This window comes from Homo sapiens, chromosome 17 (genome assembly GCF_000001405.40).
Source record: "Homo sapiens chromosome 17, GRCh38.p14 Primary Assembly".
NCBI lineage: Eukaryota > Metazoa > Chordata > Mammalia > Primates > Hominidae > Homo > Homo sapiens.
The window spans coordinates 6,511,609-6,536,809 of NC_000017.11; the positions used below are offsets into that span (position 1 = coordinate 6,511,609).

Below are 25,201 nucleotides of genomic sequence, written 5' to 3' on the forward strand. Positions count from 1 at the left end.
GCCTTGTGTGACTGCAAAGGACAAATGCTCACAAGGCTAGCCCAGGAGAAAGAAAACCATAACCTCAAGCCTGCAAAGAAAGGTCTGTGGCTTGGCCAGGCACAGTGGCTCACGCCTGTAGTCCCAGCACTTAGGGAGGCCGAGGTGGGTGGATCATGAGGTCAGGAGTTTGAGACCAACCTGGCCAACATAGTGAAACCCCATCTCTACTAAAAATATTTAAAAAATTAGCCATGGGGGGCAGGAGAATCACTTGAACCCAGGAGGTGGAGGTTTCAAGGAACTGAGATCACACCACTGCACTCCAGCCTGGGCGACAGAGCGAGACTCCATCTCAAAAAAGAAAGGTCTGTGGCCAGTGATGGAGGCAGCACAGAAGGAACAGCAGGCTTATGGGTGAAAAATACAGAAGCAAAGAAAGCTCTTGTGATCGATTGTCTGGGCTTCCATAGCAGAGGAGCCAGGTGTCTTGGTCCTCCCCCAACCCCTGCTTATGCCAAGCAAAGCATCTGTCCCAAAGTGTGAGAAAGGATGAGTGTTTGAAGGACAGGACACCATGGAAAGCTGAAAATACCCAAGAGGAATAAAACAGAAGCAACTGGCTCAACTCACACCAGTGACATTTTCTACCTTCTCCAATAATTCGATGACAGCAGGTTTCAGTAAACAGACATATTCCTATCACTCAGAGATAGATAGGCTGACAGGGAACTGCAAACACAAACTGGCATGTGCACAAATATTAGTAAATATTAGATAAAAGCCAACAATGTGGAAGGAAGATGTCCAACTCAGTGACTGAAGGGAAGAGGGAATTGGACCTGTGGAGTCCTTAAACCAACTTAGTGTCATGGTCATTAGTGGCTCTCAAATTTTAGTGCATCGGAATCACAGGACTAGTTAAAATGTGGATTCTGAGCCCCGCTCCCAGAGTTTGGCTGATTCAGTAGGTCTAGGGGTCTAGAAATGTGACCCCCAAAGTCACATTTCTAACCAGTTCCCAAGAGATGTTAATGCTGTTAGTCCAGGGACCACTCTTTGAGAAGCGTGTATTGAGATACAAGGTCATAAACCAGAGTCAGGGGGTGAATGGTAGGAAAAAATAGCTCTCTGGAATGCTAGAGGCAGAGAAATTAATCAGGGATACCCAGGCAGTGACTGCTTCCTTCCTGTCAACAAGAACGTGGCCTTGCTGACACTGTTTGTTTTAAGAACAAGAAGAACCTAGATTGTAAATCATTCCTTAAATGATAGCTCATAGATTGTTAGTATACATTATCCTAGAAGAGATATATAAACCCCAAGCATAAAAGAATAGTGAGATAACAAGTTTTGTCAAGGACTGAGTGGAATTTATCCCAGGAATGCAAAGTTATTCAGTATGTGAAAATCAATCGATGTAACGTACCATATTGATAGAATAAAAGACAAAAACCACATGAACATCTCAATACATGTCTGCAAAAAAAAAAAAAATCCTGCAAAATCCAACACCCTTTTATGGTAAAAAATACATTCAACAAACTAGAAATAGGAGGGAACTTCATCAACTAGATGAAGGACAACAACAAAAGATTCATAGTTAACATCATATTTAATGGTAAAAGACTGAAAACCTTCCCCCTAAGATCAGGAATAAAACAAGATGTCTGCTCTCATCACTTCTATTCAATATTATGTTGGAGACTCTAGTTAAGGAAATTAGATAAGAAAAGGAAATAAAAGCTATCCAGATTGGAAAGGGAAAAGTAAAACTACCTATTCAAAGACGATGTAATCCTATGCATAGAAAGTACTAAAGAATCCCCCCAAAAATAAAACTAAAAAATGAGTTCAGCAAGGTTGCAATATAGAGGATCAATATACAAAACTCAATTATATTTCAACACACTTGCAATAAACAGTCTGAAAATGAAATTAAGAAAACAATTTCAGTTACATTAGCATCAAAAAGACTAAAATACTTAGGAATAAAGTTAACAAAACAGGTGCAAGACTTGTACACTGAAAACTTTAAAACATCATTGAAAGAAAGAAGACTTACATAAATGTAAAGACATCTCACGTTCATGGATTGGAACTAATATTGTTAAGATGACAATACTCCTCAAATTGATCTACAGAGTCAACACAATCCCTATCAAAATCCCCACTGGCATTTTTGCAGAAATCGACCTAAAATTCATATGGAAGTGCAAGAAGCACAGAATAGCTAAACAATCTTGCAAAAGAAGAACAAAGCTAGTGGACCCCCACTTCCTGATTTCAAACTTACTGCAGGTGTACAGTAATCAAGACTGTGTGGCATATTAACATATACACCTGAGTGGAATAGAACTAGGAGTCCAGAAATAAACCCATATGTCTATGATCTATTGATTTTTGACAAACCTGCCTAAACAATTCAATGGATGAGAGATAGTCTTTTCAATAAATGGTGCCGGGAAAACTAGTTAATCACACTCAAAAGAACTCCTAGCTCACACCATACACAAAAATTAATTCAAAGTGAATAAAAGACCTAAATATAAGAGTTAAAACTATAAAACTTTACAAAGAAAACATGGGGGTAAATCTTCATGACCTTGGATTGGGCAATGGTTTCTTACATATGGCACCAAAAGGACAGACAATAAAAGAAAAAATAGATAAACCAAACTTCAACAAAATTTTAAGATTTAGTACTCCAAAAGACATTATCAAAAAAAAAAAGTATAAAGACAACCCACAAAATGGGAGAAAGCATATCTGATAAGGGTCTGGTGTCCAGAATTCATTAAAGAACTCTTACAACTCAACAATAAAAAGACAACCCAAATTTTAAATGGGCAAAGGATTTCAGTAGACATTTCCCCAAAGGAGATAAACAAACGATGAATAAGCACACGAAAAGATGCTCAACATCATTAGTCATTAGAGAAATGAAGATCAAAACCGCAATGAGACATCACTTCACACCTGCTAGGATGGCTATATCCAAAAAGGCAGCCAGTAACAAGTGTTGGCAAGGATGCAGAGAAATTGGAACCTTTTTACATTACTGGTGGAAATGTAAAGTGGGGCAGCTACTTTGGAAATGAATTTGGCAGCTCTTCAAAAAGTTAAACAGAATTACCATATGATATAGCAATTCCACTCCTATGTATATCAGCAAGATAATTGAAAACATATCCACACAAAAACTTGCATATGAATACTTATAGCAGCATTATTCATAATAGCCAAAAAGTAGAAACAACTCACATGTCCATCAACTGGGATAAATGAGACATGGCATATCCATACAATGGAGTAATATTCAGCCATAAAACAAAATGAAGCACTGACTTATGCTACAACGTGGATGAATCCCAAAAACATTATGTTAAGGGAAAGTAGTCACACACAAAAGGCTATATATTGTTTGATTCCATTTATATGAAATACCAGGGGCTGGGAGAAGGGGAATGGGGAGTGACTGCTAATGGGTATGGGGTTTCTTTTTTCAGAAATGAAAATGTTCTTGGGCCGGGCATGGTGGCTCATGCCTGTAATCCCAGCACTTTGGGAGACCGAGGTGGGCGGATCACTTGAGGTCAGGAGTTCAAGACCAGCCTGGCCAACATAGTGAAACCCTGTCTCTACTAAAAAAATACAAAAATTAGCCAGACCTGGTGGCGGGCACCTGTAATCCCAGCTACTTGGGAGGCTGAGGTCAGAGAATCGCTTGAACCCGGGTGGCAGAGGTTGCAGTGAGCCGAGGTTGCACCATTGCACTCCAGCCCGGGCAACAGAGTGAGACTCCATCTCAAAAAAAAAAAAAAAAAAAGAAAGAAAGAAAAGAAAAAATATTATTGAGCTAGATAATGGTGATAGTTGCATCCCTTCATGAATATACTAAAACCACACTGAATTGTACATTTTACAAAAAGGTGGGTTTTATGGTATGGGAATTATATCTCAACTTCTAAAAAAGAATTTGGCAAGACCTGCTTCACTTGAATAGTGTTAATGGCAGCTGTGTGCCTCCTTAGATCATTCAAATCAAGATGTCTCCTGCTCTGTGTTGTAATCTCACCTATGATCTTTGGCTGAATAATCCAATCTTAAGTGTGTAGTTATTCCCACCCATATCTAACCTACAGAAAACTCTGAAATGTTCTAAAACAAGCAGAAGGAGACTTTAAAAAATGTAGCATGAGCCCATGCTTCCATGAATTAAGATCAGATTGCTAATCAAAAGAATCAATCAGAGCACATGAAAATGAAAAGATGATTTTAAAAAACAAACAAACAAAAAAACAAACCCCAGGCCTGGCACAGTGACATACGCATGTAATCCTAGCACTTTGAGAGGCTGAGGCCGGAGGATCGCTTGAGCCTAGGAGTCCAAGACCAACCAAGACAACACAGCGAGACCCTGTCTCTACAAAAAATTAGGCAGGTGTGGTAGTGCAGGCCTGTGGTCCCAACTACTCAGAAGGCTGAGGCAGGAGAATGAGACCCAATCTCTAAAAACAAAACAAAATACAGAAGAGCTGACCTGCAGAATGGAGACTGATGAAGAGAAAATGGGTGAGCTGTTGGTTAGAGTCAAAGCATATTCTCAGAACCCACCAAGGACCAAGAAATAAGAATAAGAAGAACAAGGTAACGTGTGGTTAGAAAAGTCTCTGGAAGAGAAAGAAATACTTGGCCGGGCGCCGTGGCTCATGCCTGTAATCCCAGCACTTTGGGAGGCCATGGCGGGCGGATCATGAGGTCAGGAGATTGAGACCATCCTGGCTAACATGGCGAAACCCCGTCTCTACTAAAAATACAAAAAAATTAGCCAGGCGTGGTGGCGGGCACCTGTAGTCCCAGCTACTCGGGAGGCTGAGGCAGGAGAATGGCGTGAACCCAGGAGGCGGAGCTTGCAGTGAGCCGAGATGGTGCCACTGCACTCCAGCGTGGGCGACAGAGACAGACTCCGCCTCAAAAAAAAAAAAAAAACAAAGAAAGAAAGAAATACTTGAAGAAATCATGAAAAGAAGGCTTCACAGTAGTGAAAGAGCACAGCCAGGTATGGCATGACCAACAAACACCTCCACAACAAAAACCTACTCAGAAACGTCGCTTGAAATTTCAGAATACAAGGACTAAAGATGTAAAAAACCTAAAGGCTGGGCATGGTGGCAAATGCCTGTAATCCCAGCACTTTGGGAGGCCGAGGTGGGCTGATCACTTGAGGCCAGGAGTTCGAGACCAGCCTGGGCAACATGTTGAAACCCTGTCTCTATTAAAAAAAGAAAGAAAGAAAAAAAAATTTAAAAACGTAAATCTTCAGGAAGAGTAAAAACCATATTACTCACAAAGGAATGAGAATCAAATTTATCTCAGACTTCTCACCAACATCACTAAATTCAAGAGGCCATGGAGGAATAGCTGCAGAGATAGTTGGGAACGTGATAATGGAGGCAGATAAGCTCACATTCAAATGAGCAAGCAAAATAAAGACATGTTTAGCAATGCAAGGACCTAGAAAATTGCTATCCACAGTTCCTACCTGAAAGAATTACTAGCAGAGACATTCTAGTGAAAAGAGAAAGTAAATCCAAGAAGAAGTCAGGAAATTGAGGAAGTAGCAGTGAGACCTATATGCTACAAAGGGCAAATTTTACTGAATATAAATCATAGCTCAAAATACTTAACCCAAATAGAATGAGAAGGAGGGGGAGGTGGCGGAGGAGTTGTCACTGCCAAAGCCACCATGATGAGAAAACAAAACCCTCCCCAAAAGTAAAACAGCAAAACTAATCATTAAGTTGAAATGAGAATTGGCAACATGAAACCAAATGGCCAGGGGCCATGGGAGCTGGGGAGTTAGGAAGAGAAGGAAGAAAAAAGGTACAAACATCCTTCCCTGTTCAGGGATAGCATAGATAGAGCTACTGACTTAATCCAAACCCTGGTAGAAAATGCCAGTTTTTATTTTTAATTTTTTTTTTTTTGAGACAGGGGCTCATTCTGTCACCCAGGCTGGGTTGCAGTGGAGCAAGCATGGCTCACTGCAGCCTTAACCTCCTGGGTTCAAGCAACCCTCTCACCTCAGCCTCCAGAATAACTGGGAACACAGGCACATGCCATCACACCCAGCTAGTTGTTTAATTTTTTGTAGAGGTAGGAGTCACTCTCTTTACCCAGGCTGGTCCCAAATTCCTGGGCTCAAGCGATCCTCCCACCTCGGCCTCCCAAAGTATTGGGATTACAGGCATGAGCCACTGTACCTGGCCAAAAATACCAGTTTTCAAATGTATGTTAAAACTGTACGTTTCTAGAACTACAAAAAAAGGAGGTATATAAGAAATTTGATGGTGTCAATAAAAAACAAGAAAAGGGGAAGGAGAAAACTGTATTGATAATATCTTTAATTTTATAGAGAATTTATAACCCAACATATACAGTATATAGATAATGTATATATTTTTTAACTCATAAGGAACATTCACACACCCACACTAGACCAGGGTTTAGACAAGAAAGAATTTCAAAAAGATATCACGTTAGGGTCACATTGTCCGATCATAGTGGAATCAAATTGCTAATTAACAAGAAAAAAATCTATTTGTCAGGATTCTTGTACATGGCTCTCAACAGCTCTTTGGGTAAAGAGGAGAACGTGGAGGTTTTGAACTATGTAGACATGATGGACAGTGAGGGGGCTACTTATCCAAACCCTGTGGAATGTGTCCAACATGGCTGGATGCAGGTTTTCTGGGGACTGAGGTTATACAAGTTTGGGGTCCCCTTTTAAGGAAAAGATTATCCCCCCAAAAAAGCTTACTTTTATAAATTTTACCAAAAAAAGGTAATGGGTAAAAAAGCAAAAAAAAAAAAAGGTAACCTTGCTAGGACCCTCCCTTGGAAGGGAACAGTGCGTGTGTCATTTAAAAAATAAGATTAAAAAGCTCTTATCTCTAGAAATAGAAAAGCACAAATCACATAAATTCCAAGGAAGTAGAAGGAAATAATTAATGAAATAAAAGCAATGTTAATTTACAAAAACTAAGTAGAGAAAACGGTAGACAATAGAACTGATTAATAAAAGTAAGAGCTATTTCTTTGAAAAGACCATCGAAATAGGTAAGCCTTTGGCAAAACTTACTAAGAATGAGAGAGAAAGAGAAAGATGGAGGGATGGGGAAAAACACAAATGAACAATGAGGGGAATGAGAAAGAAGTCATAACTTTCGGAAGTTAATTGTTTTCAACTTGATGAAGGGCATTTCTGGAATCCTAGGGCGAGGGCCATGTTTGTTGGTAAAACATTGGAACGTTTCCATCACAGCACTACAGTCAGGATCCAACCAGAAAGCCCGCTACCGCTTGTCACTCTGCATTGACCTGGAGATCCCATGCAATGCAGTTTAAAAGGAAAAATAAGAAAGGAGAGTAAATGCTGGCAAAAATATAACTGTTAAGATTTGTAGGCCGGGCATGGTGGCTCATGCCTGTAATCCCAGCACTTTGGGAGGCCATGGCGGGCGGATCACGAGGTCAGGAGATCGAGACCGTCCTGGCTAACAAGGTGAAACCCCGTCTCTACTAAAAATACAAAAAATTAGCCGGGCGCGGTGGCGGGCGCCTGTAGTCCCAGCTACTCGGGAGGCTGAGGCAGGAGAATGGCGTGAACCCGGGAGGCGGAGCTTGCAGTGAGCCGAGATTGCGCCACTGCAGTCCGCAGTCCGGCCTGGGCGACAGAGCGAGACTCCGTCTCAAAAAAAAAAAAAAAAAAAAAAAAAAATTAGCTGAGCGTGGTGGCGGGCAGCTGTAGTCCCAGCTACTGGGGGACTGAGGCAGGAGAATGACGTGAACCTGGGAGGCGGGGCTTGCAGTGAGCCGAGATAGCGCCACTGCACTCCAGCCTGGGCGACAGAGTGAGACTCCGTCTCAGAAAAAAAAAAAAAAGATTTGTAAACAAGGCTGGATGCAGTGGCTCACACCTGTAATCCTAGCACTTTGGGAGGCCAAGTCGGGCAGATCACTTGAGGTCAGGAGTTCGACACCAGCCTGGCCAACATGGTGAAACCCCATCTCTACTAAAAATATAAAAAGTAGCCAGGCATGGTGGCGGGCGCCTGTAATCCTGGCTATTCGGGAGGCTGAGGTAGGAGAATCACTTGAACCCAGGAGGCAGAGGTTGCAGTGAGCCAAGATCACACCACTGTACTCCAGCCTGGGTGACAGAGCAAGACTCTGTCTCCAAAAAAAAAAGAAAGAAAGAAAAGATTTGTAAATGATGTGATGCTGTAACTAGAAAAAACCCAAGAGAATCAACTGACAAACTATTAGAACCAACAGGAAATGTCACCAAAGTAGCAATATTTCAAATATATAGCAGACTAATAATTTACTTCCAGAATATATATGAAGATCTCCTAAAATCCAATAAAAAGGATAAACAATCCAATAGCATATTGGCAAAAATTATGTTTAAGAAATTCAGAGGAAAGAAAATATGATCAGTCAACACATTTATGAAAAGATGTTCAATCTCACTAGAAACTGGGTAAAGACAAAGCAAAACAAGAAAACGTTTTTACCCGACCATTACATAAAATGTTGAAGTTTGATAATATCAAATCTGGTAACACATTGTGGGGAAATGGCTAACTTAATCCATGGTTGGTGTGCAAATATAAATTTGCACTGTTTTTTGGAAAACCATTTGACAGTATCTATTGCAATTTTCAGTGCTTATACTTTAAACCCATAAAGCATTCTTATAACAATGAAAGATTCCAATGTCTATCACTGCAGAATGGTTAAATAAATTATGGTACAACTATAGTAGAGAATATTATAGTACAGGTAAAGAGAACAGAGTGAATCTATATATACCCATATGAAAAGCTCTCCAAGATCTTCTGTTAAATGTGAGGGAAGAGGTAAGTTGCAGCACTAATGTCTAATACCATCGACCTCTAGAGAGATACGTTGATCAACTCCACAAGGAGGTCTGTAATTGAAGGAATAACTAAAGGAGACTTTGGTTTTATTTGTTGTGTTTGATTTTTTCCAATGAGAATACATTTAAGAAATCAGGTGGATATTTATAATGTTTGTAGCAGCATTATTCATGGTAGCTAAAACGTGGAAGCAACCCAAACGTCCATCATCAGATGAATGGATAAACAAAATGTGGTATATCCATACAAGGGAAAGTTACTCAGCCCCCAAAATGGAATAAAGTACTGATTCATGTTGCAAGATGAACGAACCTCGAAAGCATTATGCTAAGTCAAACAGGCCAGACACAAAAGGACAAATACTGAATGATCCCACATATGTAGGGTACCTAGAGAAGTCAAATTCATGGAGACAGAAAGTAGAATGATGTTTACCAAGGGCTGGGGAAAGGAAAATGGGGAGTTGGTGTTTGACGGGCACAGTTTCAGTTGCAGAGAGTGACCAAGTTCTGGAGATGGTTGGTGGTGATGGTTGCAGAGCGATGTGAATGGACTTAATGCCACTGACCTGTATACTTAAGAACCGTTAAAATGGGCCGGGTGTGATGGCTCACACCTGTAATCCCAGCACTTTGGGAGGCCGAGGCAGGTGGATCACTTGAGGTCAGGAGTTCAAGACTAGCCTGGCCAAGATGGCAAAACCCTGTCTCTACTAAAAATACAAAAATTAGCTGGGGGTGGTGGCGGACGCCTGTAATCCCAGCTACTTGGGAGGCTGAGGCAGGAGAATCACTTGAACCTGGGAGGCAGAGGTTGCAGTGAGCCAAGATCACACAACTGTACTCCAGCCTGGGTGACAAAGCGAGACTCCGTCTCAAAAACAAAAAAAATTGTTAAAATGGTAAATTTTATGTTATGCATATTTTACCACAATAAGAAATGTTACACAAAAATAACAAGACAAACAATTGCAAAAATAATAATAGTATAATAAATAATAATATTTGAACAATTGTAAAATAATAGTAATAACAACACGCTTCTGGGTGTTCAGCTGGTGCTGAAGGATCCCTTTCCATTAAAAAAAAATATATATATATACTGGGCAATATGTTGCCAAAAAAGATAAATATATAACCAAGCTTAAAATAAAAAATGTATAATACACAGTGCCAGAAACAAAAAAGGAATCCAGAGACGAAAGCAGAAGCTGAGATAGAGGAGATCCGTGAATCCCATGAGTCAGACGAATAAAGAAAGAGGCTCCAGGGCCAGAGCCTAAAAACCACACTGTGAACTCCACCAACCTGACCTCAGCCTGTGGATGGCAAGGAGCTGATGTGGCACCCACTTTATAGCAGGGACACTTGAAGGGCCATTCCATCCTTACAGGAACTTACAAAAAGAACCTTCTTTGCGGAAGCGGCAAAGAAACCATTCACAGACAGTGAGAGAGAAAATTCACACATGAGTAATTAAAACCCTAAGCCTGTGCCACTTCTGGGTGTAGGGTCTAAATTTACACCACCCATGTAGAATGGAAACTCTAAACTATAAATTTAGCCTATAAAATATTCAAGATTAGTGAAACACTCAGGCCCAGCAGGAAACAAGGCCGGTCTTTATGAGGACATTTTCCCAACCTAGGGCACAAAAGACTTCCCCCAAAAAGAAAAGAGAGGTATGTGTGACCAAGATGAGTTCACAATCACAAATGAGAAAGAAGACCCATGAGGTATATTTAGTGTGCGCACACACACACACACACACACACACACAGAGCAGAATTAACACCCTTGAGAACTGGAGGGATGAGAGCAGTCTGAAAGTGCTGATGAAATATATGACTTAAATGGTTAGGGAGAGAAAAGGTAAAATACAAAACAGAATTCAGGCTTAAAGGGAAGAAGGTTGGCTCCATTTGGAATTTGTGGAGCATAAGGAGTCTTTAGGACATCCAGGTAGAGGTTAGCAGGAGGTTACCAAAAATGCGAGTGTGGAGCCCAGAAGAAAGGTCCTGGCTGGAGATAGAGCAAGGAGTTGTCATCGAGGTGGCTGGAGCACCCATGGAGGCAGTGTGACTGGCCAGAGCGTCCAGCATGAGGCAGGGGAGGGGGGCCTGGAATGAGTCCTGTGTCTAAGGGCAGGCAACTTGAAGAAGACAAGAGGATCTGCTCTGTCTATGCCACCAATTTCCATTGCATTCCTTTCCAGGAAGAGTTCACGGATCTTCCTTTCCCCAAGATACTTCCCAGAGCCTCTCAGAGCCTTGTCCCAGCCTGCCTTACTGCATAGTAACCCCTGGCTCTGATCTGTCGCTTCCACTCTGCTGCAAGCTTCTCAGGAATGACAAGGCCATCCTGCTTGTCTTTATTCCCCCTACATTGAGCACAGGGTTGAGCCCCTGTGATGGCTCCATAAATGATTATTGAAATGAATGTGTGTGTTCTGTCATGTTGTGGGAATTCACATTATGAATTCACACGAGAATGGGACTTGGAAGGAGCTGGAAATCCAGCTGGTTTCCTCTTCCTCTTACCCTCTCTCCTCTCTTCTTCCCGCTCCCCATTCTGTACTGGGAGGAAATAGTACCAACCCTCGGACTCAGGTAAGCACTGCCCTTCATTCATGAGCATCAGGAAGCATTTGTGAGGGCTGCCACTTGTGCAACATTGGTCATGCTTCTCCCCCTTCCATCATTATAAGAATGACCTGCTATCGAATGCACTTTGCAAATATCATCTCATTTAATCATCACAGCTTTTTTACTAGTCCTCCACTCTGCAGATGAAGAAACAGAAGACCAGGGAGGTGATGTGACTTTTCCTGACCACACAGCCATGGAGTGGCATGGCTGAAGTTCAAACCCAGGCCTCTCTGACTCCAGCACTGCAGCTTCTGCCTCTGTCCTGGACCTCCCGCTGTGCTTCCTCGTCCCCTGCCCTCCAGTGCCCTCCCAGCTCACTCTGCCTCTTGCTCACCTGACCGACTGCCCTTAGCTCTCACTGGGTCTGAGTCATACATTCTTTAGCAGACAAGTGGGGATGGGGGATGGGAAGGGGATGGCCAAATGGATGGTACAAATCCATATTTGTCTTTTCAAGGCTACAAGCACTATTGTGGGGCAGGACCTAGAATCCATGACCCCTTCTAGGCCCCCTCTGGGGTTCTTGGGATGAAGGAAAGAGCAGCAAAGGACCCACTGGCAGATACATGGCTATGACGACTGGTAAGTTGTCTCTGGATTGCCCTTGGGGGCCAGAGTCAGAGCCCCCCCTTCTCGTGGATGGGACAGTGGTACAGGGTGCCTTTCCTTTCAGACTCATGGTTCCTTGAGCCTGACTTTGTTGGGGCCCAGAACTGTGCCAAGCCTTAGTCCAGTCCGGGAGGTGAAGCCCTGGACTGGGAATCAGAAGACCAGGAATCTGAGCCTGATGTTGCCACCAGCTTGGGGGACTTTGGGCAAGACGTGGCTCCTCTGAGCCTGGGTTCTTTGTTGGTTAGATGGGATGACCACACCAGGCCTGCCCATTTCTCAGGATGAGTGCTTTGGCAAAAGGAGAGCTCTGAACCAAGGAGGCAAGGATGGGGATGAGAAAAGGAACAGGAACAGGGCAAGATGGTCACTACCAAGGCAGCCGTTCCCGTGGGCTGGGCCAGGACCATCTCACTGAATGCCTCCTGAGAGCATGGCCTTGCCCACTCGGCAACTCTGGGCCAGAGCACGACTGCGAATGACAGGAGCAATAGAGGAAGGAGAAGAGAAGATGAAGAAGAAATAAAGTAGGAGGAGTGGTATGTGGGGTGGGGAAGGAGGGATGGAAGAAACCAACTTGAGGGTAACAGGTACAGAGGTTAGCACCCTGCATCCCAGATGTGGGTCTAGCCCTGGCTCTGCTTCTCACTCCATTGTAACATTAATCAAATACAGCCCTCAGCTGAAGATCTCTGAGCTCAGTTTCCCATATGTGAGCTCAGATTTTACGACATCTTCAGCCACGTTGTCCGTTTGAATTTTAAAGCCTTGCCCCATTGCTTCACTGTCAGGAGCCCTTCCTGGATCCCCTCTCCTGCCTCCTGAAAGTCATGCCTCTCCCTTCTGAGCTAACACCCTCAGCTTAAGCCTGATCCACATATCTTGACTTATACGTGTCACACATCACAAGACAGAGGCCTCAGATGAATCACCTTTGGTTGCTCCTGCCAAGCACTTATACACAGTAGGTGCTCAATGAGCCTGTTAGTGATGAACAATAGCCAAACAGATGGATAGATGGATGCCAAAAAGAATCAGCCTGCTTTGTAGGCTGATCAAACTCCTGGTCAAAACTCTTCTCCATAGAAAGCCTCCTGGATTAATCCCCAGCCATATACTCCTTCTTCAACAACTCCACCAAAGGAAATCCTGATTCTCACTGCTGTCCTTCTCTCTCCCCTTAGACCTCAGCTCCTGTCCTGCTCAAAGGCTCCTCCAACTGTCACCCTCCTTATTCAGCAGATTCCAATACCAAAGACCTGGCAGTCCAAGGAGCTTGGACCCAGGCACCTGCCATTAACCACCCGTGCCACTGGGGTAGTCATTCTGTGGACAAAGGAAGCTCTGTTGAAGTAGGCTGGAGCTTTTATGCCACAGAAAACCCCACAGAAGTCCCCATGAGAGTTCCTGTAAGTGGCAAAATTCAGGGATGCTATGAAGGAGGAACCAAGGCAGATAGACTCTTCACAGAAGGCCCAAGCCCCAGCCCCAGTCACCAGCCCTACAGCCCCCCCTGCAACACACCTATGTGCACATCCTGGTCATGAGAGAAGCAGAGTCTCACCTTGATGCTCGTCCAGTTTCCCCATGGTCTCGATCTGCTCCACGAGGTCATTGGAGTTCCACTGGCTCATCCCAATGAGGATGGCATTCTTCCCTTCAGCCATCTCCTCTGTGGGAAGAAGCAGCGGTGAGCAGAAGCAGGTGCAGCTAGGGATAGGTAGCCCTATCAGGAGCTTATGTCTGAGGGACATTTTCTCTTGTCCTATTTCTTCCTTGAGTTGAGGTACACCTCAACTCTTGAAGGTGTCTGTAGCTAGACAGTTACAAGACTTGCAGAGATTTATCATTGAAAGAAGGTACTGTTGTACCCTACTGGGCCTCCACGTGCAACAGCAAAAGAAAGTAACAAAAAGCCTGAAACCCCATAGAAAGTACCATTCCTAGCACTGATGGCAGTATCTCTTGAAAGTCAGTGTGTTTGGGAAGAAAGAGCAAAACCTTGTCATTTGCAAGCAGTTTTTCTTTAAATTACTGACTTCTCTGACCCTCGATTTTCCCATCACTAAAATGGATCTGGCCACAGAGGTGTTGTGAGGATTAAATGAGATAATGGATGTAAAGGTCTTAGTGCAGAGGAGGTGCTCATAGATGAGAGCAATCATGATGATGTCATCACATGAGAAGTAACTCACCACCAGGAGTTGAGTGGATGAGGATTTGTGTGCTGCAGAAGCAGCTCTGGAGTAACTGGAGGAGAAGAAACCTTCCGGTTCTAAGGAAGCTTTGACTTGTATGGAACCTTTAGCCCCCATCTGAACTTTATGACCCTCTTAATTCCTCCATTCTCTCCCACTCCTCCCCTCAACCCTGTCTCTATCCTTGTTCTTTCCTTGTCTGAGCATAGTGAGTCTTCTGGGAGAAATCAGTGGGGCTATATTCCATAACCACGCTGAATACAAGGCCCTGGGTCCCACACATCAGATACACACATCTGGTACCATCCCTCATCCTACAAAGGGACATTTCTTCAAAGACAAACCCTTAGGCATGTGTGCTCTCCTCCCCATACTTTGCCGAAAAACAGATGTGCCTTTCTGGTGAAGAGCTTTGTGCCCTCCCTCGCAGAACAGACATCAAAGGGTGTTGAGGACAATCTCCAAGCTTATGATAATTAAGAATAAAGGGTTGAGATCCATTTCACTGCCAAAGAACTTTACCTAGCAGAAGGAATCAATATGGTGCATCTGAAGCTTTGGGAGCTGTCCAGAGTTCTGATTCACTCAAGAGCTCAGTTGACCAGACCCCCAATTCTGGTTAGGACATCTCCTCCTGTCTTATTTTATGTATCTATTTGATTGACTTAACAACACTTATCTAACCGTTACCATACACTGAGATTATTATAAGTGCTTTACAAATATTAACTCGATTCTCAAAACAATACAAAAAAGGTAAAATTGTTATTATCTCCATTTTATAGACAAGGAAACTGAGGCACAGAGTAGCTGAGTAATTCTTGCCCAAGGTCACTGGCTAGAGCCAGGATTTAAAACCAGGTATACTATTTCAAGAGTCCTGAAATCCTGCCATCCTGATAGCCTGCCCTGGACATCCTGTATTGGCTGCCCACACTCCAGCCAGGCACCACACACATTCGGACAATTTCCTGAGCCCAGTGTGTTCCATCTGGGAACTGGTTTATTCTGTGCTGGGCAGGGCCCTGACCAGGTTCCAGTGCAGATCCTGCTGCATGTGAGCTTTGTGCTTTTCCACACCCTCCACCACTGTGTCTGCTTTCCTATCTTTTAAACAACAATAACGACTCAGGGTCTATAGCTCTGTCTAGCAAGCTGCTGTGGGGACAAATAATATAGCAAATTTGAAAATACGACGCAAGTCAAGGTGCTGTAAACAAATATGAGGTGATATTATTCTTCGGGAAGCAGAATTATGAAGAGGTTAAGAGCTCAATTCTCATGTTAGATTGATTTTTTTCAATCCTGGACCCACCATCTGCTAGCAATACAACTGCAGTTTCCTCATCTAAAAGTGATATCATCGTAGGGCCTCTGTCATTGGATTGTTGTGAGCATTAAGTGAGAAGATGCAGGTAAAGGTGTTTGTAAGAGTGCCCCACACACAGTAAAAGCACAGGCTGAGATGCCATTGCATGATGGTATCATCATCACCAGCACCACCACCACCAGTAGGAGCATGGGTGTTATGCCCCACACTCACTCTTGGTTCCACTCCTGCTGTTGTTGGCCCCTATGACATTCTACCCCAGCTGTAGAGTGAGGTAATCAGGATCAGCCCAATTACCACCTTGAGTTCTTTGTCTCCTGGTTCAGTTACTCAAGCATGGAGCTATCCATTTGTTCATTCTAGCATTCAATCTACGGTGAATAGATTCCTGAGCACCTACTGTGTGCAGGGTGAGACACAACCTCCCTCCTGCTGGAATCCAGTTTTGTGAAAAACATGATAGAAATACCTCTGACATAAGCTAAGAGAGCCAGGTATGCAGCAGGCACTCAGCACATCCTAGCTTTCTTCTACAGTGCCATAAGTCCTGTCCCAGTGGTTTATGCAAGGCTACTGGAACCCTGTGGGGTCTCCCAGGGCTCTGGAGGTCTGAGCATGCCTACTCCTGCATGGCCCAGGCCACTTTCCTCTTTTTCCTAATCACCAGTATAACCCTGCTCCATCTTTGGCTTTTGGGCTTTTGTCTGTTTCCGATCAAATATGTCCTTCTCTACCAGAGTCTCACCGTGCTTCTCTCACGCTTTACATCTGGCCCTGACTCACTCAGATCTGAGCTCTCTGGACCCCTTTCTATGGGTCTGTGTCTCTCTTGGTCCTTGTAGTTCTCTTTGCCTCTCCCAAGCTCTCCCATGCTGCCTGCCACATCCGTATCTCTCTCTGGGTGGAACACGTATGCATTGCCTTGCTCTCTTCTCACCCCAGCATCTCTCTCTTTCCTTTCTCTGGGTCTCATCTTATCAGGCTGGGTATGTCTCTTTCTTGATCTCTCTCATTCTCTATGGATTTCTCTTTTGTCTCTCTGGGTCCCTGTCCTCAGGATCTCTCCAGCCCCCTGCTCCCTAAGGGTGTTCTCCCTCCCCTCCCTGTTCTCTCTTGCTATGTGTGTGTGCACGTGTGCACGTGCATGTGTGTGTGCATGCATGTGTGTGCATGCATGTGTGAGTGCATACATGCATTGTGTGCATGTGTGTACATGCAAGTGAGTGTGTACATGCATGTGTGAGTATGTGCATATGTGCATGTGTGTGCATATGTGTGTGGCCCTCTCTCCCTCCTGCTCCCTCTCACTCTCTGCTTTATCTTACCTTCTCTGGCATTCTCACACTCCCTGCCCCTCCGCCCATCCCTGTCTCTCTGCTGCTCTGTGCACCCTCCCAACTCCCCAACATGCTTTCTCTCCCACACTCAGCCTTTACGTCTTCACTCTGGCAACAATTGGCTTGTCCCCTGAGAAGCAACAAGAACACACACACACACACACACATACACACGGAAGCAGCAGCAGCAATATCTCCTTTTGGAGCCATTCAGGCAAAGAGGGGAGCTGCAGGGCTCAGCTTGAAGTCTTTGCTCTGCTTCCCACATTGTAGGACATGCCTCCAACAGGACCTGTGGAGGCCACAGCGTGCTCATTTGTATAAACGCCCTGGTTGATTTTGCTTTTCACCTTCTGATGACTGTCTCCTGCATGCTAATTCTCATCCTGGTGACCTCTGCTTCGGACATGGTTTTAGCATGTACTTCACCCTACTGAGACCTGACCCAGCTCTGATTAAGCTCCAAGCTGAGCCTCACCCACTGTCACAATAGCCCTGGCCTTGACCACAGATTGACTCTGACCCTGACCAAAACCTGGTTATACTCTACTCCTGTAAGCACAACCTACAATGCCATAAGGAAAGCCTTTCTTCCTATCCTGGAGCTTCTGTTTCTACTGTTGACAGGACTCCAGAGTAAAGAATCTCTTTGTCTTGGCCAGGCGCAGTGACTCACACCTGTAATCCCAGCACTTTGTGAGGCTGAGGCGGGCAAATCACAAGGGCAGGAGTTCGAGACCAACCTGACCAACATGGTGAAACACCATCTCTACTAAAAATACAAAAAATTAGCTGGGCGTGGGGGCGGGTGTCTGTAATCCCAGCAACTCAGGAGGCTGAGGTGGAAGAATCGCTTGAACCCGGGTGGCAGAGGTTGCAGTGAGCTGAGATCGTGCTACTGCATTCCAGCCTGGTGACAGAGTGAGACTCCATCTCAAAAAAAAAAAAAAATCTCCTTGTCTCATGCCAGGAAAGCTTCACCTCCAGCTCATGGAGCCGAGGGCTTGGTCACATTCTGCAGATGGCCCATCCAGTACCACTCATCATCAGGCCCACAACATGGATTTCTCCAAGGACCTAGATATGCATTGCTTGGGGCTCTGGACCACAAGATTGCTCACATTCACCTTGCACTGCCTACCACATGCCCCCATGGCCCCCCTATAGCCAATACCATGACTCCCTCTTCCTTGTGAGGGGCAGTCCCCACACAGCCCATCCCCAGACATGTTGGGGCTGGTTCCATGGCGTTCTCTTTTCCACTTCCCCTCCCCCAATGGGGGAAAAGGTAGAGGGAGAGTGGGGGCCTGTGGCACACCTGTGCTTTGCTTCTGTGATGGCTCCTTGGCCCAGGAATAATCACGCAGCTTCCCACGGTGACATCCTTCCACTCCCTCCAGGAGACAAACAGTTCTACCCTTGCCATTCTACAGATGAGGAACCTGAGGCTCAGAGACCCAAGACTTGCCTGAGATCAGAGGGCAGACAGTCAGTGACAACTATCATGGAAACCTGGTCCTCTATGCCCAGAGGACACATATCATTTTCTTCTGTTCCCCCTTCTCTCACCCTTGGGGTTGGAAACTGCCGGGAGGCTGAGTGATCACAGGGAAAGCTCAGATCAAAATGAGAAGGCTTGGCATGTGCCCCCCATTCTCTGTGAGACCTGACCCTGACTTTGAAATTTCGTCTGTAAAATGGGATGATTTAGCCGTGCACTACCTTCCTCTCCCAATTGCTATGGGAAACCAGGAGTTAGAGGCACAAGCAGATTCCGCAACACAGAACCCAGCTCCTCAGGCCCCAGCCTCCCACCTTGGGGAGTGGGGGAGGGGAGGACCAGCCAGGCTGGCCACTGAGAGAGCAAGAAACCAAGGACACAAAAGACATGGGGGTAAATGCAGAAAGGAGGACTCCTCCAGCTTCTAGCTCAGAGAGTTCCCTTAGCCCTGCTGAAGGAGACAAGTCTTGTGCTTTGCTCTTGATCCAGCTACCCAGTGCCAGACGTGCCCTGAGAGTAAATCCTAGATCCACCACCACCACCACCATACCCAGCCCATTCCTGGCCCTGATGGCATTTTTGTCTCTGCAACTGTCAGGGCCTGGCCTGCTTATGCATATTCATGGAGGGAGGGCTATTTAGATGCTGGAGGGGGTTGGGAAACCGAAAGAAAAGTATTTCCCATTCAAGTGAGGGAATGGACCTGGACACCACAGCCAACAGAGCCTTGCAAGGCCATGGGGAGCCTCATTGACAGATCCTTCCAGGTGAAGCCCAGCATCCTCATTTTACAGGTACAGAGCTGTGCCACTGGCCCACGGCCATGCAGAACCTCAGGGGAAGGGCTGGGCCAAGAATCGAGATCCTGCCAATTAAAGGCACTCCCAGTAACACTATCTCCTGGCAGTTAATTTCATGAAACCACCTCTGTTTGTACCTAGATGTTTGCTGGTACAAATAATTGGATATTGTTCCAATTATTTCCAATATCCAAATAATTGGATTATTCTTTCCATCTAAGGTTAAAGTGAAGGATGCAGCTGATATTTTCTAAATGAAGACATACATTTTGCTATAAAAACAGAACACAAAGTGAGCTAGTCTTGGCATATCCAGCCAAATCCCAAATAAACTCAACCAATACCACAGTGACTGCACTAGCCCCAACCTTGCATCCTTTCAGGGATGAAGACTTCAAAAGACCGTTTCATTTTTCTCTCTAGAACTTAGCGTTTCATAGCCAGGAACCCTGGGAAACCTGGGCTGCTCTAACATGTCAACCCATCCTCCTTGGTCCACTAAGCTTTTCTTACCCATGGCTTCTGGCCAGACTACCTGTCACCCAGCAATCTTCATCCCTCACAATAAGGAGCTCACTCAAGGTCCAGGCATGGTTCCATTTTGAGGATCCATCCTGCACTACGGACTCTGAGTTCTGCATCTCTGGCCTTCTCTGGGACAGGGACGGGGTACCCAGGGCCAACCCTGAGCCTGGCCAGGAAAGCGTGTCCAGAGGACACCCACTGCCTTCCACAATATGGGCTACTGGGTCTAGTCTGCCCCCTCTCTCCTTGCTGGGGCTGTGAACCCACAGCACTGAGCCAGTGCCTCCCTGGCTCACTCTGGCCACACCAGCCTTCCTGCTGTTGCTCAAAGATGCCGAGCTTGGGTGCAGTGGCTCACGCCTGTCATCCCAGCACTCTGGAAGGCTGAGGCGGACGGATCACCTGGGGTCAGGAGTTCAAGACCAGCCTGGCCAGCATGGTGAAACCCCATCTCTACTAAAAATACAAAAAAAATCAGCTGGGCCTGGTGGTACATGCCTGTAATCCCAGCTACTTGGGAGGTTGAGGCAGGAGAATCACTTGAACCTGGGAGGCAGAGGTTGCAGTGAGCCGAGACTGTGCCACTGCAGTCCAGCCTGGGTGACAAGAGTGAAACTCCGTCTAAAAAAAAAAAAAAAGATGCCAAGCTCATTCCACCAATCAACACTTTGCGCTGGCTGTTCCCACTGTCTAGAACACTCTTCCCCCTGGATTCGCAGGTGGCTCATTTCTCATTACTCAGCTCTCAGCTCAGGGCCACACCCCAGGGACCCTCTAGCAGCCATCCACTCTATCATGTCCTTTTATGTTATATGGTGGGGACAGTCTCCATTTTTTAAACAGCATTACTGAGGCATAATTGACATTCCATCAACTACACACCTTTAAAGCGCACAGCTGGGTAAGTTTTGACATATGTACATACCTGTAAAACCATTACCCCAATCAAGCTAGTGAACAAGGCTCCATCCCTTCTAGAAGTTCTCTCCTGCCCCTATTTATCCCTCCTCCCCCAACTCCCCATCCCCAGGCGACCGCTGATCTGCTCCTGGCACCACAGATTGGTTTTCATGTCCTAGACTTGTGTATAAATAGAATCATACAGGATGTACTCTGCTTCAGTCTGACTTCTTTCACTTGGCATGATTATTCTGAGATTTATCCATATTGTTGCATATATCCGTGGTCCGTTCCTTCTTAACTGTACCACAATTTGTTCACTCACTGATGCTCATTTGGGCGTTTTCAGTGTGGGGCTATAATCCATCAAGCTGCTGGGAACATTCATGAGCAAGTTCTCAGGTGGACAAATGCTTTCTTTTTCTTGGGGAAATGCCAACAAGCAGAAGGGTTGGGTCACATGGTAGTGAAGTATGATTTGCTTCTTAAGCAGCTGCAATCAATTTTCCAAAATGATTGTATCATCATACATTCCCGCCAGCCGAGTTTGAAAGTCCCAGTGCCTCCACATCTTGGTAAGTTATTATTATTATTATTGAGACGGCGTTTCCCTCTTGTTGCGCAGGCTGGAGTACAATGGCGCGATCTCAGCTCATCGCCACCTCTGCCTCCCAGGTTCAAATTATTCTCCTGCCTCAGCCTCCCGAGTAGCTGGGATTACAGGAATGCTCCACCATGCCCAGCTAATTTTCTATTTTCAGTAGAGACAGGGTTTCTCCATGTTGATCAGGCTGGTCTCGAACTCCTGACCTCAGGTGATCCACCCGCCTCAGCCTCCCAAAGTGCTGGGATTACAGGCATGAGCGACCATGCCTGGCCCCTGGTAAGTTATTTTAATCAGCCATTCTAATAAGTAGGTATTGGTATCTCATTGCAGTTTTGATTTACAGTAATGACGTCATTCCCTAATGATGAATGACGTGGAGCATCTTTTCACATGCTTACTTGCCATGTATATATCTGCTTTGGTGCAGCATTTATTCCTTTGTGTTATTTTGTTTATGGTGTTTTGTTGTTGTTGTTTTTCTTCCAGGCAGAGTCTCGCCCTGTCACCCAGGCTGGAGTGTAATGTCATGATCTCGGCTCACTGCAACCTCTGCCTCCTGGGTTCAAGCGATTCTCCTGCCTCAGTCTCCTGAGTAGCTGGGATTACAGGTGTGTGTCACCATGCCCAGCTAATTTTTTTGTATCTTTAGTAGAGACGGGCTTTCACCATGTTGGCCAGGCTGGTCTCACACTCCTGAACTCGTGATCCGCCTGCCTCTGCCTCCCAAAGTGCTGAGATTACAGCCACTGTGCCCAGCCTATGGTAATTCTTAATAGAATGTATTTGCTTGTGTATTGTCTTCCTATTTGTCACCTACCACCACCACTAGGCTATGAGCTCCATTGGCTGGGGCAGGACTCGCTTGCTCCTGTATCCCCCACACCCAGAAGAGCACCTGGCACTTGATGGACGGACGCACCATTAATACTGTGGACAGAGTAAATGAATGAGGCTGAATTCTAGCTCCCGCTCTGCCTCTTTGTGTGGCCCTAAACAAGGTTCCCCAGCCTCCGTTTCCCAGCTTGTAAAGTGAGTCAGAGGTGTTAGATTCAAAAACCTTGAGGAGCCTCCCAGCTCTGGCTTGTTCTGGGTTGGAGGCCACATCCCCTTCTGGCCACTCTGGGTTTTCCCTTACCCTGCATCTTCCAACCTCGGCACTGCTGGGCTGTGGCCCCCCAGATATCCTGTCTTGACAGGGGAGGGAGTGACACTTCTTTTGAATCTGGGAGCCTGGACCCCATAGCCCACCCTGCAGCATCTAATCACTCCTGAGCCCCAGACCTGCCACCTTAGCCAGAGGAGCTGGCACCCTGCCGAGGAGTTGTTATGGTTCCAGAGAGCTCAATACTCCTGCCTGACTGTTCCCTAATCCCTCCCATGCCTTCCATACAGAACCAGAGACCCCCAGAACCCAGAACTCCTCTCTGCTCCCAGACCATGAGCTCCAAGGGCCTCTCCAGGTGAACCCCATTGCCAGGCCAAAGGGTTGGGGCTGATGGCTGCAAGGGAGGGAGGACGGTCCTAATCGGTAACACATCAAAGGGAAAGGGCTGACCTGGACACTAAACTCCCGGGTTCCAGCCCCTGCACTTCCACCTTGATGTGTGATCTGGTGGTGGTGGGGGGCAGGGGGTCCCTTTGGTGCTGTGGCCTCAGTTTCCCTATTAGTGCACTGAGGAGGAAGGAGATACACTGTTCCCAGGTCCAGTCAGTGCTGGTACCTAGCTACGCAGTTTCTTCCAGTGTAGACGCCGCTTGGTTTCTCATTCCTCTGGTCATTTTTGTATCAGTTGAGGTGGGCAGGGGTGGGGGATCACGACGGCGGTTATGGGCAGAGGAGGGAGTACAGATGCAGGAGCTCTCAGGGACAGAAGGCTGCCCAGGCAGCAATGAGACTGCCATACCCAGGGCAGCACGAAGCCCAGGAGTTGGCTGCAAGTACCCAGCTGGTCTCTGCAGGGAGACACAGAGAAGGTCACCTGTGAAGACCTCCACACGTGCAGGAACTGTTGAAATAGACATCCATGGCAGCCAAGGAGTCTTTTGAGGGGCTCATGGGGGAAACCCAGGGAGCTCTGGAGGCTCTGGTGCAGGATGTCTGAGTGGGGCTGGATTTAATGGTGTTGGCCCCACCACAACTAGAGTTGGAACTGTTGAGGCCACAGGATGCCAGGCCATGCTCAAGCGGAAGACAGAGACCACACCCAGGGTCAGGGTCAGGGTCAGGGTTCAGCCTGGGCTGGAGAGCAGAGGGCAGGGAAGCAGACCCTCAAGGGATACTCAGAAGCCCATGGCCTGGTCCCAGACACAGAGCACTGGCTGGGCTGGGCTGGGCTGGACCAGAGCCCTGGGAGAGAGAGAAAGCATGGCTTCACCTCTCACTGCCTTGAGCCAAGGAAACACACAAAGGCCTTGGTCAGGGAGGAATGGAAAGGAGGTTAGCAGTTGGCAAATCAGAACTAAACAGGGTCCCAGCAGCCTGTGAGGTGGATCCTGTGGCTTAGGAATGCAGATGCTCTGGAAGAGGGCAGATGGGAGGGAGGCTGCAGAGATATACGAGGTCCTGTAGGGTGTGTGGAGAGGCAGAAGATGGGGAAAGACGGGAGAGTCTGGGATCCCGAAAAAAGGGAGAAGAAAAAAAGGAAGTGGCCGGGTGCGGTGGCTCACACCTGTAATCCCAGCACTTTGGGAGGCCAAGGCAGGCAGATCACTTGAGGTAAGGAGTTCAAGACCAGCCTGGCCAACATGGTGAAACCCTGTCTCTACTAAAAATAAAAAAAAAAATTAGCCAGGTATGGTGGTGCCTGCCTGTAATCCCAGCACTTTGGGAGGCCAAGACGGGCAGATCACTTGAGGTCAGGAGTTTGAGACCAGCCTGGCCAGCATAGTGAAACCCTGTCTCTACTAAAACTACAAAAAAAAAAATTGGTCAGACGTGGTGGCACATGCCTGTAATCCCAGCTACTTGGGAGGCTGAGGCAGGAGAATTGCTTGAACCCAGGAGGCAGAGGTTGTAGTGAGCCAAGATCGCTCCGTTGCACCGCCACCTGGGCTACAAAGCGAGACTCCATCTCAAAAAAAAAAGGAAAAAAAAAGAAAAAAAAAAAAGGAGATGATGAGAAAGAAAACACAGGGCCACCAACATGGGAGGAGTGAGAAGTGGGGCCGATTTCACGGCAGAACAAGCCGTGAGATGGGAGGGAGAGGACAGAGACAATGGAGGGGCCAGGGAGACAGCCGTCAGCATGAGAAGCACTGCAGCTGCTCTCAGGGACGGCAGGTGAGCAGGGCCCGAAGGGATAGAGCTGACCCTCGCGCCACCCACAGATGCCTCTGTCGTCAGCTGGGAACGCAGAGCCCTGATGAACTGCAGAAATGTTTTAAATGAAAGTCTTCCAAGCATCAAAATATTGAAGCTGTTGTTGTCTCACTGTGGGTTAGTTGCTATGGAGAAATTCAGCCCCAGCAGCCACTCTAATTAGACGCCCATGGGAGACAGGCCCCAAATGGGCTGGTTTAGGGCTGGCCTCAGGGAAGGGGTTCCCCGCCCAGAGCCAAGAATGGGGGACAGCTCCCCACCTCCCAGCCACATGTCCTAAAAATCACCCAAACTGAGTCTTCTCCACTGTTGGAGGCATAGAGCTGGTAGGGAAACTGAGGCCCAGAGAAAGTGAAAGCCCCGCCAAGGTCACAGAACTAGTCGATGGCATGGCTGAGACCACATCCCAAGTGTCCCGCTCTGGGTATTGACGTCTTCCCAGCACGTAGTCTGTTTCTCTTCCAAGACCCCGTTTGCCAAGCATTTCAAAGCCAGCTCCGT

The 25,201-nt window shown here is 46.3% G+C and overlaps 1 protein-coding gene across 5 annotated transcripts in view; it reads right to left on the reverse strand.

The window, feature by feature from the left end:
- The window catches only part of PITPNM3 (PITPNM family member 3), a 105,293-nt gene that overhangs the window by 60,346 nt on the left and 19,746 nt on the right, over positions 1-25,201 (reverse strand). For 4 of the 5 annotated variants that reach the window (NM_031220.4, XM_011524015.4, XM_011524016.4 and 1 more), the window contains exon 3: positions 13,748-13,855. The exons of the other annotated variant lie outside the window; for it this stretch is intronic. In NM_031220.4, the coding sequence (NP_112497.2) occupies positions 13,748-13,855 (108 nt within the window). The remainder of the gene's footprint in view (positions 1-13,747; positions 13,856-25,201) is intronic. 5 annotated transcript variants of the gene reach the window in all.